General features: G+C 48.2%; 2 annotated features.

The window, feature by feature from the left end:
- Nucleotides 6,000–6,562: an enhancer, noted in NCBI's record as "H3K27ac-H3K4me1 hESC enhancer chr11:116558341-116558903 (GRCh37/hg19 assembly coordinates)". NCBI's record gives its function as "activates a minimal SCP1, AML or CMV promoter by ChIP-STARR-seq in primed H9 embryonic stem cells {active_cell/tissue: H9 hESC(primed)}" and the evidence as "EXISTENCE:reporter gene assay evidence [ECO:0000049][PMID:30033119]".
- Nucleotides 6,563–7,124: an enhancer, noted in NCBI's record as "H3K27ac-H3K4me1 hESC enhancer chr11:116558904-116559465 (GRCh37/hg19 assembly coordinates)". NCBI's record gives its function as "activates a minimal SCP1, AML or CMV promoter by ChIP-STARR-seq in primed H9 embryonic stem cells {active_cell/tissue: H9 hESC(primed)}" and the evidence as "EXISTENCE:reporter gene assay evidence [ECO:0000049][PMID:30033119]".

Genomic DNA, 12,613 nt, shown 5'->3' on the forward strand with positions numbered 1-12,613 from the left:
TTATCTGAGAGACTGGCCTTGTGGTAAATCATACTGAGAGCCTGCTAGGAGATATAGGAAGAATTGGAAATGGGTACACACAAAACTAAGCAAATTAACAATCAGGGCAATTATTAACTTCAGGAGAAATAAAAAAAAAGTATACTACAATGTTCAGTTATTAATATTTGCATAACAATGTAAATACTGAATATTGGTATATTGTAAATGGTAATATAGCTATATTGGGGCTTATAACTAATTTATCTATCTATAATAAAGAGAAGTCAATGGATATCTTGAAATTATGAATCAAAAGGATCAATATTTATTTAGAAAAATATGGCTGGGCACAGTGGCTCAAGCCTGTAATCCCAGCACTTTGGGAGGCTGAGACGGGTGAATCACAAGGTCAGGAGTTCGAGATCAGCCTGGCCAACATAGTGAAACCCCGTCTCTACTAAAATATAAAAATTAGTCGGGTGTGGTGGCATGCGCGTGTAGTCCCAGCTACTCAGAAGGCTGAGGCAGGAGAATCGCTTGAACCCGGGAGGCGGAGGTTGCAGTGAGCCAAGACTGTACCATTGCACTCCAGCCTAGGTGACAGAGTGAGACTCCATCTCAAAAAAAAAAAAAAAATAGAAATGTGTATAAATATTAGGATAAAGAGTCAAAGATATTTCCTCTGAGGAGGAAGATTGGGAAGAGAGGAGTGCTGAGACAGAAAACCCCTGTATTTTGTTATAAGCCTTTTGGCATTATTTGATTTTTTAAAACCATATGCATATAATACCTTCAAGAAAATAAAAACAAAAAAATTTCCTAAGTGATTCTGATGCTCAAATTTAGGAACTCCTAGGCCAGTTCACATTCCCATCCATTATTAGAAACTCCTCTGCAACATTCACTGATAAGTAGTTGTCCAACTATGACTTGACTATCGCCACAATAAAGAATTCACTACTTGAAATTTCATCTCCTATTTCTTTATAGTCCTAATTCTTATGTCAGTTATAAACATTGCATAGTAAAAGTACAGAGATACTGTGAGACTGTACTGGCCCATTCTACTTCCAGGGATGAAAGTAATGGGGGCAGTAATGAATGTCTCGTAATTCTCCTGTAGTGGGTGGCTATCAACAGGGTGAGTCCTGCTGGGTGCAGTGGCTCATGCCTGTAATCCCAGAACACTGGGAGGCTAAGGCAGATAATTGCATGAGCCCAGGAGTTCAAGTCCAACCTAGCCAACATAGGAAGACCCTGTCTCTACAAAAAATTCAAAAATTAGCCAAGTGAGATTGTGTGCACCTGTAGTCCCAGCTACTCAGGAGGCTGAGGTGGGAGGATCACTTGAGCCCAGGAGACTGAAGCTGCAGTGAGCTGTGATCACACCACTGCACTCCAGCTTGGGTGATAGAATTACACCCTGTTTCAAAGAAAAGAGGGTGAATCTTTTCGCTATGCTATAGCCCACTTCCCTGGCAATCACTGTAAAAGATATTTGTCCCTCAGAATGAAAGGGAGGGACCAAGAGCTCTACAAATCTTACATTTAGGTCTCTTTCTCTGGCTTTAGTGACACGGCTTATGCCATCCTAAAGATTCCCATAAGCTGAGGTGGCGATACACCTCAGAAAAGTGGAAGACAGAGGAAGGAGCTATATAAATTGTGCCAGGCATTTGAGTCCAGAAGGTAGCTATTTATCTCAAGAGTTGAGACATATTTTAAAGCATTATTTTCTTTACCACATCCCCAGGCAGCCCACTTCATCCCCTAAAGCTCTGTTAGAAGGTCTTCATAAGAGAGAGAGGGACAGAAATTAAAAGTACTAGGTTTCAGTAGTGCAGATAGATAAAATGAATGAAATTTTTAAAAATTCAATCTAAAAGACAACAGAAAACTAAGAACAAATAACAGATATGGCCAAAAAAACAGAGCAAGGAGGTAAATTTAAACCCAGCTATGTACATAATTACACTAAACATAAATGATCTAAACACCCAAATTAAAAGACAGATTAAACTGGATTAAAAAGCAAGACTCAATACTTGGAAGAAAAAGGCACAGCTAGATTATAAGTAAAATGATGGAAAACATACCAAGTAAGCATTGTTCAAAAGAAAGCACTGATATATTAATACCAGACAAAGTGTAGTTTGCAGGATAAGGAATATTACCTGATAAAGAGGGACATTTCATAAAGAGGTCAATTACTCAAGGAAACATAATCATAAATGTGTGTGCACCTAATAAGTGGTTTCCTGATGGTTTGTTTTCATGCTGCTGATGAAGACATACCCAAGATGGGGCAATTTACAAAAGAAAGAGGTTTAATTGGACTTACAGTTCCACGTGTCTGGGAAAACCTCACAATCATGGCAGAAGGAGAAGCAACATCTTACATGGATGGCAGCAAGCAAAAAAAAGCTTGTGCAGGAAAACTCCGTCCCCGCTCCCCTCCACCCCCACCCCCACCTTATAATCATCAGATCTCATGAGACTATCACAAGAACAGCATGGGCAAGACCTGCCCTCATGATTCAATTACCTCCCACCAGGTCCCTCCCACAACATGTGGGTGAATTGAAGACCAGATTTGGGTGGGCACATAGCCAAACCATATCATTAACAAACTAAAAACAAATACAACATATAATCATCTCAATAGATACAGAAAAATCATTTGAAAAAATTTAACACCTACGTGTGATATAAAAAAACTCTCAGCAAACTAGGAATAGAAGAGAACATTCTTAAATCCATAAAGGGCATTTTTTAAACCCTGCAGCTAACATCATACTTAACGGTGAAAGACTGAATGCTTTTCACTTAAATTGGGAACAAATTAAGGATATCTGCTCTCATCACTTCTATTTAATATAGTATAGGTAACCTTAGCCAGTGAAATAAGGCAAGAAAAAGAAATAGATTTGAAAGAGATGGTAACACTGTCTTTTTTTCAAGTTTTCTTTTTTTAACTTTTAAGTTCAGGGGTACATGTGCAGGTTTATTACATAGGTAAACTTGTGTCATGGGGGTTTGTTGTAGGTAAAACTGTCTTTACCACACAATGAGATGATCTCTAAAAAATAGTTCAAATAGTCTACAAAAAAAAAAACTACTAGAATAAACGAGATTAATCAAGATACAGGATATAAGGCCAATTTTTTAAAAACTGTATTTCTATGTACTAGCAATAAAAAATTGGAAATAAAATTTTTTAAATACTACTTTAAAAATCAAGCATAAATTTAAGAAAATTTCTGTAAAATCTGTACACTGACAACTAGGAAACATTGCTGAGAAAAAGAAAGCCTCAATAAATAGAGAGATGTAACACATTCATGGATCAGAATATTCAATATTGTTAAGATGCTAATTCTCCCCAAAATCGTCTATAGAGTCAATGCATACATAATCAAAAGACCAGTAGACTGGGTTTTGTTAGTTTTTTAGAAATTGGCAATCTAATTCTAAAGGAAATACAAAGACTTAGAATAAGGAGAAGACAGTTGGAAGCCTTGTACTACTTAATTTCAAGACTTACTGTAAAGCCACAGTAATCATGTCAGTGTGGTATCGGGGTGAGGATAGACATATAGATCGATGAAATAGAAGAGTCCAGAAATATACCCAACATATATGGTCAACTGATTTTTGACAAAGGTACCAAGGTAATTCAATGGGAAAGGAAAGTCTTTTTAACAAACTGTGGTGGACAATTTGACATTTACATACAAAAAGAAAAGGAAAGAAAAAAGAACCTCAACATAGATCTTACACCTTATACAAAAGTTAACTTGAAATGAATCATAGACCTACATGTAAGAGCTAAAACTCTAAACTTCTAGAAGAGGAAAAAAACTTTGACCACCTTCAGTTAGGCTAAGAAGTCTTTGGACACAAATCCAAATACTAGAGCTCAAGACCACCTTTAAAATTTGACCAAGGTGTGTTTTAGGCAAATAAAAGGAGGCGCTTCATTATACAGCTGAATCCAATTCCTTTACCATCCTCTCTGCTCTCTCCTGGAACACCCTCCTTGTTCCCCAACCAAACCTTTGCCATAACCAGCTCCTACTTATCATCCTGTCTCAGCTTCAGTGTCACTTCCTCCAGGGAGCCTTTCCTGACCCCCTAAACTGGGTTAAGTGCCCCTCTTTCAACTCCTGTCACTTCCTGGACTTTGCACATAACCCTCTCTATTGCAGGGACCTGTATCACCCTCCAGACTGGAAGCCCCACAAAGAACTGGGACAGTGTTTGACCTGTTCTCATTCTTATTCCCCGTGCCTGACAAGTGGTGGATGCTCAGTATATTTTATTAGATAAACAATTGTATAATCACATCCATCACTTCTTATTACCATTAGGACCAGCCTGAGAGAAAGACAGGGCAGAATTATTATTCTGTTTTTCAGCTGAAGAATCCAAGACCCAGAGAGGTACAGTGATTTGCCCAAGGTCACACAGCTGGCAAGAACTATCCTACTCCTTGCCAGGTGCTTCTCCTCCTTGGTACGTTGCACTGCCTCTCAAGCATGGCACCCCAAACTGCCCCCCAGGCATATAAGAGTGTTGGAATGGACACCCGGCTTCTCAACCTCCCGCCTCTCCATCTCCTTGTCTCCTGGCTTCCCTCTCCTTAGCAGTGAGACCTGGTAGTGTAATGGGTAAGAACAGACATAATGGGTTTGAATTATACTCTAACCACCCACTAGCTGTGTGACCTTGGGCAAGATACTTAACTTCTCTGGATCAACTGTAAAATGGAGGTAAAGTAGTGCATACCTCAGAGGGTTATAGAGTAAGGACTCGGCACAATATCTGGCACATATGAGCTCTGGTTATCTGCTTTTTACTATTTCTCTAACATATTCTATCTTGATGTCTCTATTCCTCACTGTCTTTCTTTTCTACCCTCTGTTGGTCTGTCTATTGGCCTATCTCCCAAACCAGCTGCAGTCCCCTTCCACACGCTGGGCCACGCCTGGGAGACTCAGACACTTCTGAGATCTCCATGTGTATCTCATCCTGGATCCAGAAGAGATCTTGTTCCAGGAATGGAGCTACGGTTAAAAAATAAAATAAAATAAAATAAACCACACACACACGCACACACTACACCACCCCCACATGCATGCACATCTTCCTCACCTGTCACAGGCCAGCCTGTGAGGGACCTGTGTGGTCCAGGGGCAGTTGGAAAAAAGGCTTGAGAGGTTGTGGGGGTGGAAGGGTTAAGGCTGAGTGGTGGGGACAGCCGGTTGGGGGGTGGGGGTCTCTGGCTGAGAAGAAAACAGGTGGACGGGATTGGCCCCGTCCTCGGGGAGAAGTGGAAGCCAAAGCTGAGCCACCTGCCCATTTCCCAAGGGTCGGATTACCCAACAGCAGGTGCTTATGAGACCCTCCCATGCCTGATAGAGTGGAAGGCACAGGGCATGCACACCCCACCTCCACCTCTAGGTCTTATAGATGGAGGGTCATCGGGCCCCTGGAGAGGCCACACTGAGGGGAAGGCATCGTGACCTCAGCATCCTGGGCCAGTGGTAAGAACCAGGACTGGCCTCAGAAGACCTAGGTTTGGGTGAATGCACAGCCATGTACTGGTCATATGACCCTGGGGAAATCGTATCATCGCTCTGAACCTCAGTCTCCTCATCTGCAAAATGTAACAATAGATGCTCTGCTGCGTGGCTGTGAAAATTTTATTTAGAAAGAGCAGGTAAGAAAGCACTTGCTAAACTACCTGGTGCTCTGTGGTGTCCTTGGGTCATTATTGGCACAGGCTGGATGGCGCCCACAGTGACCCCTCATCATCCTGCCCCACTGTCACAGAGCACCCATTATCAATGGTGACACCAGGAAGACAGACAGACACTCCAGTGCAGTCTGGCAACATCATCCAGCTGAGCCCCTCATCATCCTGCTATGTGACCACGGGCCCTTCCACCTCTGGGCCAGTTTCTTCCCTACACCAAGGGGGATGGGCCACCGTGTGGAATTTCAGGAATTCCTGAAATTCCTGTTAGCTTCATGTTGGTAGCTTGAACTCAGCCATGGTAGAGGTATTTACACCTCAGAAATCAGCAAACATTACAGACCAGGGTACCACTGTTTAGGCTGACATCCCAAATCTCCTCCTCCCAGTGTCTGGCCAGGAACAGAGCAGCTGGTCCAAGCAGATTGCCTCAAGTGCTCAGCATCCGGCTGCCTTCCAGGGACTCTCCCCTGATAAATATGGATGCACACCTGGCCAGCAGCAGGCCTGAACCCCTTGCCCCCACACACACACATACAAGCGTGCACACACACACTCTCATACTCACACTCTCATACACTAACACACACACACTCTCTCATACACTCACATGCACATACACCCACACACTCCTACCTGGTGGATCCCTGGGCATGGGCAGGGGCAGGAGGGAGGCAGCCCCTGCTCTTGTCAATCACAGGAACAAGGCTCCACCCACCTGGCCTGGGTATTCCATGAGGTCTTTTGTCTCCGGTGCTCCTGCCCCTCCTCTTCTCCACCCACCATAGGGTGGAGGACGGGAGCTTGCCCAGACTCCAGCAGGCCACCTGCTTTGTAACTGAGGGCACCACCATGCAGACCCCACTCTCTCTCCTCAGGACTGCCCCTCCACAGACCGCCACGTGGTGCAGGAGTGATACCCAGGCAGTGCCACCCAGTTAGACTAGGAGGTGCCTAGTGCCCCTGCAGCAGGGTCACGTGACACTTTGACCCTTCACCCTCCCAATACTTAGAAGGCAAATCAGTCCGGGAGGCCCAAGTGAGGAGATAGAGTGGTGAGGGAGGGTTTCTCTGAGAGAGAGGGAAGCTGGGCCAAGTCCCTGCCCACCCTTCTACGCTGACCCCCAGCAGTGTCTTTTGCGGGTTGTTTGCATTGCTCTTTTCTGAACTAAGCACTCAGGCACTCTCCTGCTCCCTGCAATGGGTTGAATTGTGTCCTCTAAAATTGCTGCACAGAAGTCCCAACCCCCAGCACCTCAGGAATGTGGTCTCAGATCTTACTGGAGACAGATCCTTGATTACAGAGGTAACCAAATCAAAATCAGGTCATTAAGGCTGGGCGCAGTGGCTCATGCGTGTAATCCCAGCACTTTGGGAGGCCAAGGTAAGTGGATTACTTAAGCCCAGGAGTTCAAGATCAGTCTGAGCAAGAAGGCAAAACCCCATCTTTACAAAAAAAAAAAAAAAATTAGCCAAGTATGGTGGCACATGCCTGTAGTCTGTAGTCCCAGCTACTTGGGAGGCCGAGGTGGGAAGTGGGGGCTGTAGTGAGTCGTGACTGCACCACTGCATTCCAGCCAGAGTGACAGCAAGATGCTGTCTTAAGAACAAAACAAAACAAAAATCCGGTTATTAAAACTCAGGTCATGAGTTAAAAAGGTTGTTAGGGTGAGCCCTAATCCAACATGACTGGCGTCCTTATAGAAAGGGGAAATGTGGACACAGAGATATGCCCCAAGGGAAGAGCATCCACAGCCAAGCAGAGGGGCCTGGGGAAGAAGACAGCCATCCACAGCCAAGCAGAGAGGCCTGGGGAAGAAGACAGCCATCCACAGCCAAGCAGAGAGGCCTGGGGAAGAAGACAGCCATCCACAGCCAAGCAGAGGGGCCTGGGGAAGAAGACAGCCATCCACAGCCAAGCAGAGAGGCCTGGGGAAGAAGACAGCCATCCACAGCCAAGCAGAGGCGCCTGGACCCGATCCTCCCCTCACTACCCAGAGAAGACACTAACTCTGCCTTGATTCCGAAATCTTGGATTCTAGCCTCCAGAACGATGAGGCCGTGCATTTCTGTTGTTTAAGCCACCCCGTGCGGAGGGGTCTGTTATAGCAGCCTTGCAAACGAACTCATCCCCACTCTCTGAAAGGGCAGGTGAGAGAAACCGCCTGTGGGTATCTCAGCTTCACAACCTTCGGAAGCATACACATTGCTGCATCTGATCCCCAGGCCACATGACCCTTAGGCGCAACAGGTGCCATTCATCCCCTTTGACAGATGAGGACACTGAGGCCCAGGGGGCAGGGTGCTTACCAAGAGGCTCTCCAGAGTCAACAACTAAGCCAGGACCAGAACCAAGGCCCCCTTATGAATGACCCAATGGGCTTGCCTACACCAAGCCAAATGTCTCCTCCTGAATGTGTACAGAATTCTGTGAGCCCACAGTGAGAAGACACTGGGACATCTCCCTCCACCAGAGGAAAACTTCCAGGCAAAGGTCCTGAACCCTGGATGCTCCGTGAATCACCCAGAGAGCTTCGAATCAGTCCAGCACCTGGGCCCCACCCCAGACCAAGTGAATAAGCACCTCTGGGGGTGGGGCTCAGGCACTGGTCTTTTCTACAGCGCCCAGATGATACTAATGTGTAGCTGGGGAGGACAGCCGGAGCTAGAGGACTCCCTGGTGCCAGCATCCTAGCAGCCTGAGTGTCCCCACTCAGTTGCAGAGGGGCCTGGGGTGCCCAGCAGGCAATCACACCTCAGGAAATATGAGACATAAATGAAGGTGCAAATTGGCAGTCATTCATTTTTGTATTAAGGCCTAGAAAATATCAGGGTTGAAGCAAGTTTTTCTAATTTCTTCATGGCCGGGGCTGGTGGGTGGGGGAAGTATCTTTAAAATGCTAATGGAAGAGAAAATAGTGTTTTTCTTTAAATTTGGGCCTTTACTCTTTCATCTTGTATTAGCTTGTTCTCATGCTGCTATAAAGAACTGCCCAAGCATGGTGGCTCACGCCTGTAATCCCAGCACTTTGGGAGGCTGAGGCTGGCGGATCACTTGAGGTCAGGAGTTCCAGACCGGCCTGGCCACATGTGAAACCCCATCTCTACTAAAAATTAGGCGTGATGGTGCATGCCTGTAATCCCAGCTACTTGGGAGGCTGAGGCATAAGAATCGCTTGAACACGGGAAGCAGAGGTTGCAGTGAGCTGAGATTTTACCACTGCACTCCAGCCTGGACAACAGAACCAGGCCCCATCTCAAAAAAAGAAAAAAGGAACTGCCCAAGACTGCGTAATTTATAAAGAAAAGAGGTTGAATCGACTCACAGTTCCACAGGGCTGGGAGGAAACTTACAGTCATGGCAGAAGGGAAAGCAAACACATCTCCCCTCACACGGTGGCAGGAAGGAGAAGAATGAGGGCCCAGAGAAGCGGGGAAAGCCCCTTATAAAACCATCCGATCTCGTGAGAACTAATTCACTACCACGAGAACAGGAGGAGGGAAACAGGCCCCATGATTCAATTATCTCCACCTGGTCCCTCCCACGACACGTGGGGATTATGGGAACTACAATTCAAGATGAGATTTAGGTGGGGACTCAGCCAAACCATATCACATCTTAATCAAATGTGATTGCTTATCAGGAAAACTAAAAAGCTACACTGGAATCCTTACTATATGGCAGGCATGTGCTAAATGACCCTTGTGTTTTATGCCTATGCCTATGTGGTTATGCCTAGGCATCATAACCCACATTTTACAGTGGGAGCAACCAAGCCTTAGAGATGTTATTTGACCTGCCCAAGGTTACCCAGCCACTAGGCAGTGAAGCTGGAATCCCACCCAGGCAGTCTACGTTACACCAAAGGCTGTGCCTTTGACCACCCACCACAGGGTCCTCTACATTCATAACCTATTTTTGTAAAAGGGACTAAAATAAGAATTGTCACCAGGCACAGTGGCTCACACCTGTAATCCCAGTGCTATGGGGAGGCTAAGGTGGGAGGATTGCTTGAGCCCAGGAGTTCAAGACCAGCCTGGGTAACATAGCAAAACCCCATCTCTACAAGGGAAAAAAAAAACAGCAAAAACGTAAACAAAATTAGCTGGGTGTGGTTGCACGTGCCTGTAGTCCCAGCTACTTGGGAGGCTGAGGCAGGAGGATGGCTTGAACCCAGGAGTTCCAGGTTGTAGTGTGCTATAATCGCGCTGCTGCACTCCAGCCTGAATGACAGAGCAAGACCCTGTATCTAAAAGAAGAAGAAAAGTATTGTAGATATTAAATGTTTAAATAATGCCTTTTTTCCAGGGCTCCCAGATTTCCAGAGATTTTTCATCCCTAACTTGGAACTGAAGAGCTCAGGCATTAATAGGAAGCAGAACAGGCACCCTCATTCCCAGCACAAAGAACGCCAACGTGGACACCAGCACCAGCACCCCGCACCCCGATCTCTTCCCTGCCTAGGCCCACCGTCGCTGGAAGGAGAGAAACACGGGCCTGGACTCCCCTCTAGTGGCCATGAAGCTAACTGCACCAGACACCTCCACACCCACCCAGGCCAGCCAGGTGCCCGGGGCCTGAGCCCCAGGTGAAGTGGGAACCTACGCCCAATGGGCACACACACCCACTGAGATGGCAGCAGGCCCCTAGGCTTGGAGACTTTATCCAGGTACTGGAATTGAGGGGACTGAAAGCTGCGGCCCCAAAAGACCAAACCATACCTGACTCCATCTCATCCTTTTCACCTCATCTGCCTCCCATCCATCCCCCCAGCTGAAGGGAGCATTAGAAGTCAGGAGGAAGCTGACCCCAAGAAGCAGGATTCTGGCCCTGGGACAATAACCAGAACTCTGAATGAATGTCCAGAACACTTCCCCACACTTGGCCTGTGGCCTCCCTCCAAGGCTCTCCCCCACTCCTCTCCATCCTGCACGCCCCAGCACTCTGCCTCTCCAGGAAGCCTTCACTGAGCCCTCCCTCCACACCATGGTGCTCAGTCCACAGTCTCTCCCTTCCCTGATCTCCTGCCAGGAGTACCAAGGTCACCTCTCAGCGCCCAGCACACCTTTCAAGACCATCGGTTCTCCCCTCCCCAGCCGTCCCCCCAGTGAACCGGAGCCTCTGAAGGCAGGGATTGCACCATAAATATCTCTGGTGCCCACCCCCTCAGAGTGTCGCCCAGGCCAGGACACCAGAACCTGCTCAACTGGCTGCAGCAAGTCCACCTGAGGACTCAGCCTTGGAGGCCAGAGCAACGCCGGCCCAGCAAGGCTGCCTCTCTTCTCCCAGCACTGCTGTTTGATCCAAGGCACCGTGAGGGTCCAGGCAGGTGGCCCAAGGGAGGGAAGGGAAGGTTCCCAGGAATGCACAGCCTGAGCTGGAGACAGGGGAGAGCTAACAGGGCTGGTAGAAATGACCCATCAGCAGTCGCTGTGACGGCACGAAAACTCCTGCTGCGGGAGCAGCCTCTCAGGGCACAGCAGCTGAAGTCTCTCTGGTGGAAGGTCCCGCCTGAAAGAGCAGGGGGACAGGCCCATCAGCCCTGAGGAGCAGCCACCCCCGGCCCAGCCCCAGACCAGGCAGCAGGGACCTCCCTTCCTCTGAGGTCCCCACCTCAGAATCAGGCTGATGGGGTGCTGCCCTCCCAGCTGGTCTGAGGGCACCTCGGCATGAAGCCCTCCCCCTGCTCCCCTCCTGGCTCCCATCTCCAAGGCCTGAATGCATTCGCATCTTCCGGCTCTCAGGAGCAATTCCAACTGCCCCATTTATATTCCTAAGTAGAGGACTTGTTAATATGGAGCCTGCCTCTGGGGAAGTGGGAATGTGCTGGGTGAGAGATGACAAATCACAGCCCAACAGCCTGGCTGAGAGCACTGATACTCACCTACATCTCATTCATCAGCCCCTGACCCTCCTACCACATAGGCCAAGGGGGCAGCCCTGGAGGAGCCACTGTGGGCTCCAAGAAGCACAGGCATTGGTGGGTGGTGGCAGGGGGATCTGTCCTGCCAGGAGGCTGGGGGAGGGCCCAGCAGCAAGGGGGAGCCCAGTAAGTGGATATGGGTGAGGCCCAAACCAGAGCAATCCCTGGAACAAAACTTCCACTCCTGGCTCCAGTGAGAGAGCGAAAGGCCCAGAACACCATCAGTTTCATCTTGAGCCACACCAGTCCCTGCCTGGAGAAGTATTTGGTCAGTCTAGTGGGCCAAAGCAGGGCCAGGGTGGTTCCTGTTCTGGCTCCAGCCTGGAACCACATGCACACACGCATGCACACACATGCACACACACACACACTCACGGCCCAACCCAGATGCAGGGCAGGGCACGCAGCCAGCCTGGCCAGGTGCTACCTTGGTGAGCTCAGTGCCCAGTCCCAGGTAGGGCGGGTGTGCAGCGTGAGTAATGGCAGGCGAGGAATGCACCCGAATCCTGATAAGGGAGAATAATAACTTGTCAAAGATATATATGATGTGTGTTTGTTTTCCCAACGGAATATCTATGGGGCTAATTCATCAAGCCAGCGGGCTGGCTGGAGACCCAGGGAGGGAGGGAGGAGAGAGGAGGTGCACACAACGGGGCAGCCACTCAGGCAGTTGCTGTGGCCCTCCGGCCTCCAAGGGACCCACAGGCGGGAACACCAGGGCCCTGGAAGGCACTGAAATGGGCCCTGCCCAGCAGGGCTCCCCGCCTCTCAGTGCTCCTCCAGGGAACTTTTGGGTCTGGAATTCACAGGAGGCTTCTCACCTGTTTAGGAATTTCACTGTTCTCTTGTGTGCTCCTTCTCTCATCCACTCTTCCTTCCTTCCTGCTGCACCGTCTGTGCAAAGCCCACCCGGTTTGAGAAGCCGAAAGGTGATCAGAAAACACCACCC

Source organism: Homo sapiens, chromosome 11 (assembly GCF_000001405.40).
Source record: "Homo sapiens chromosome 11, GRCh38.p14 Primary Assembly".
NCBI lineage: Eukaryota > Metazoa > Chordata > Mammalia > Primates > Hominidae > Homo > Homo sapiens.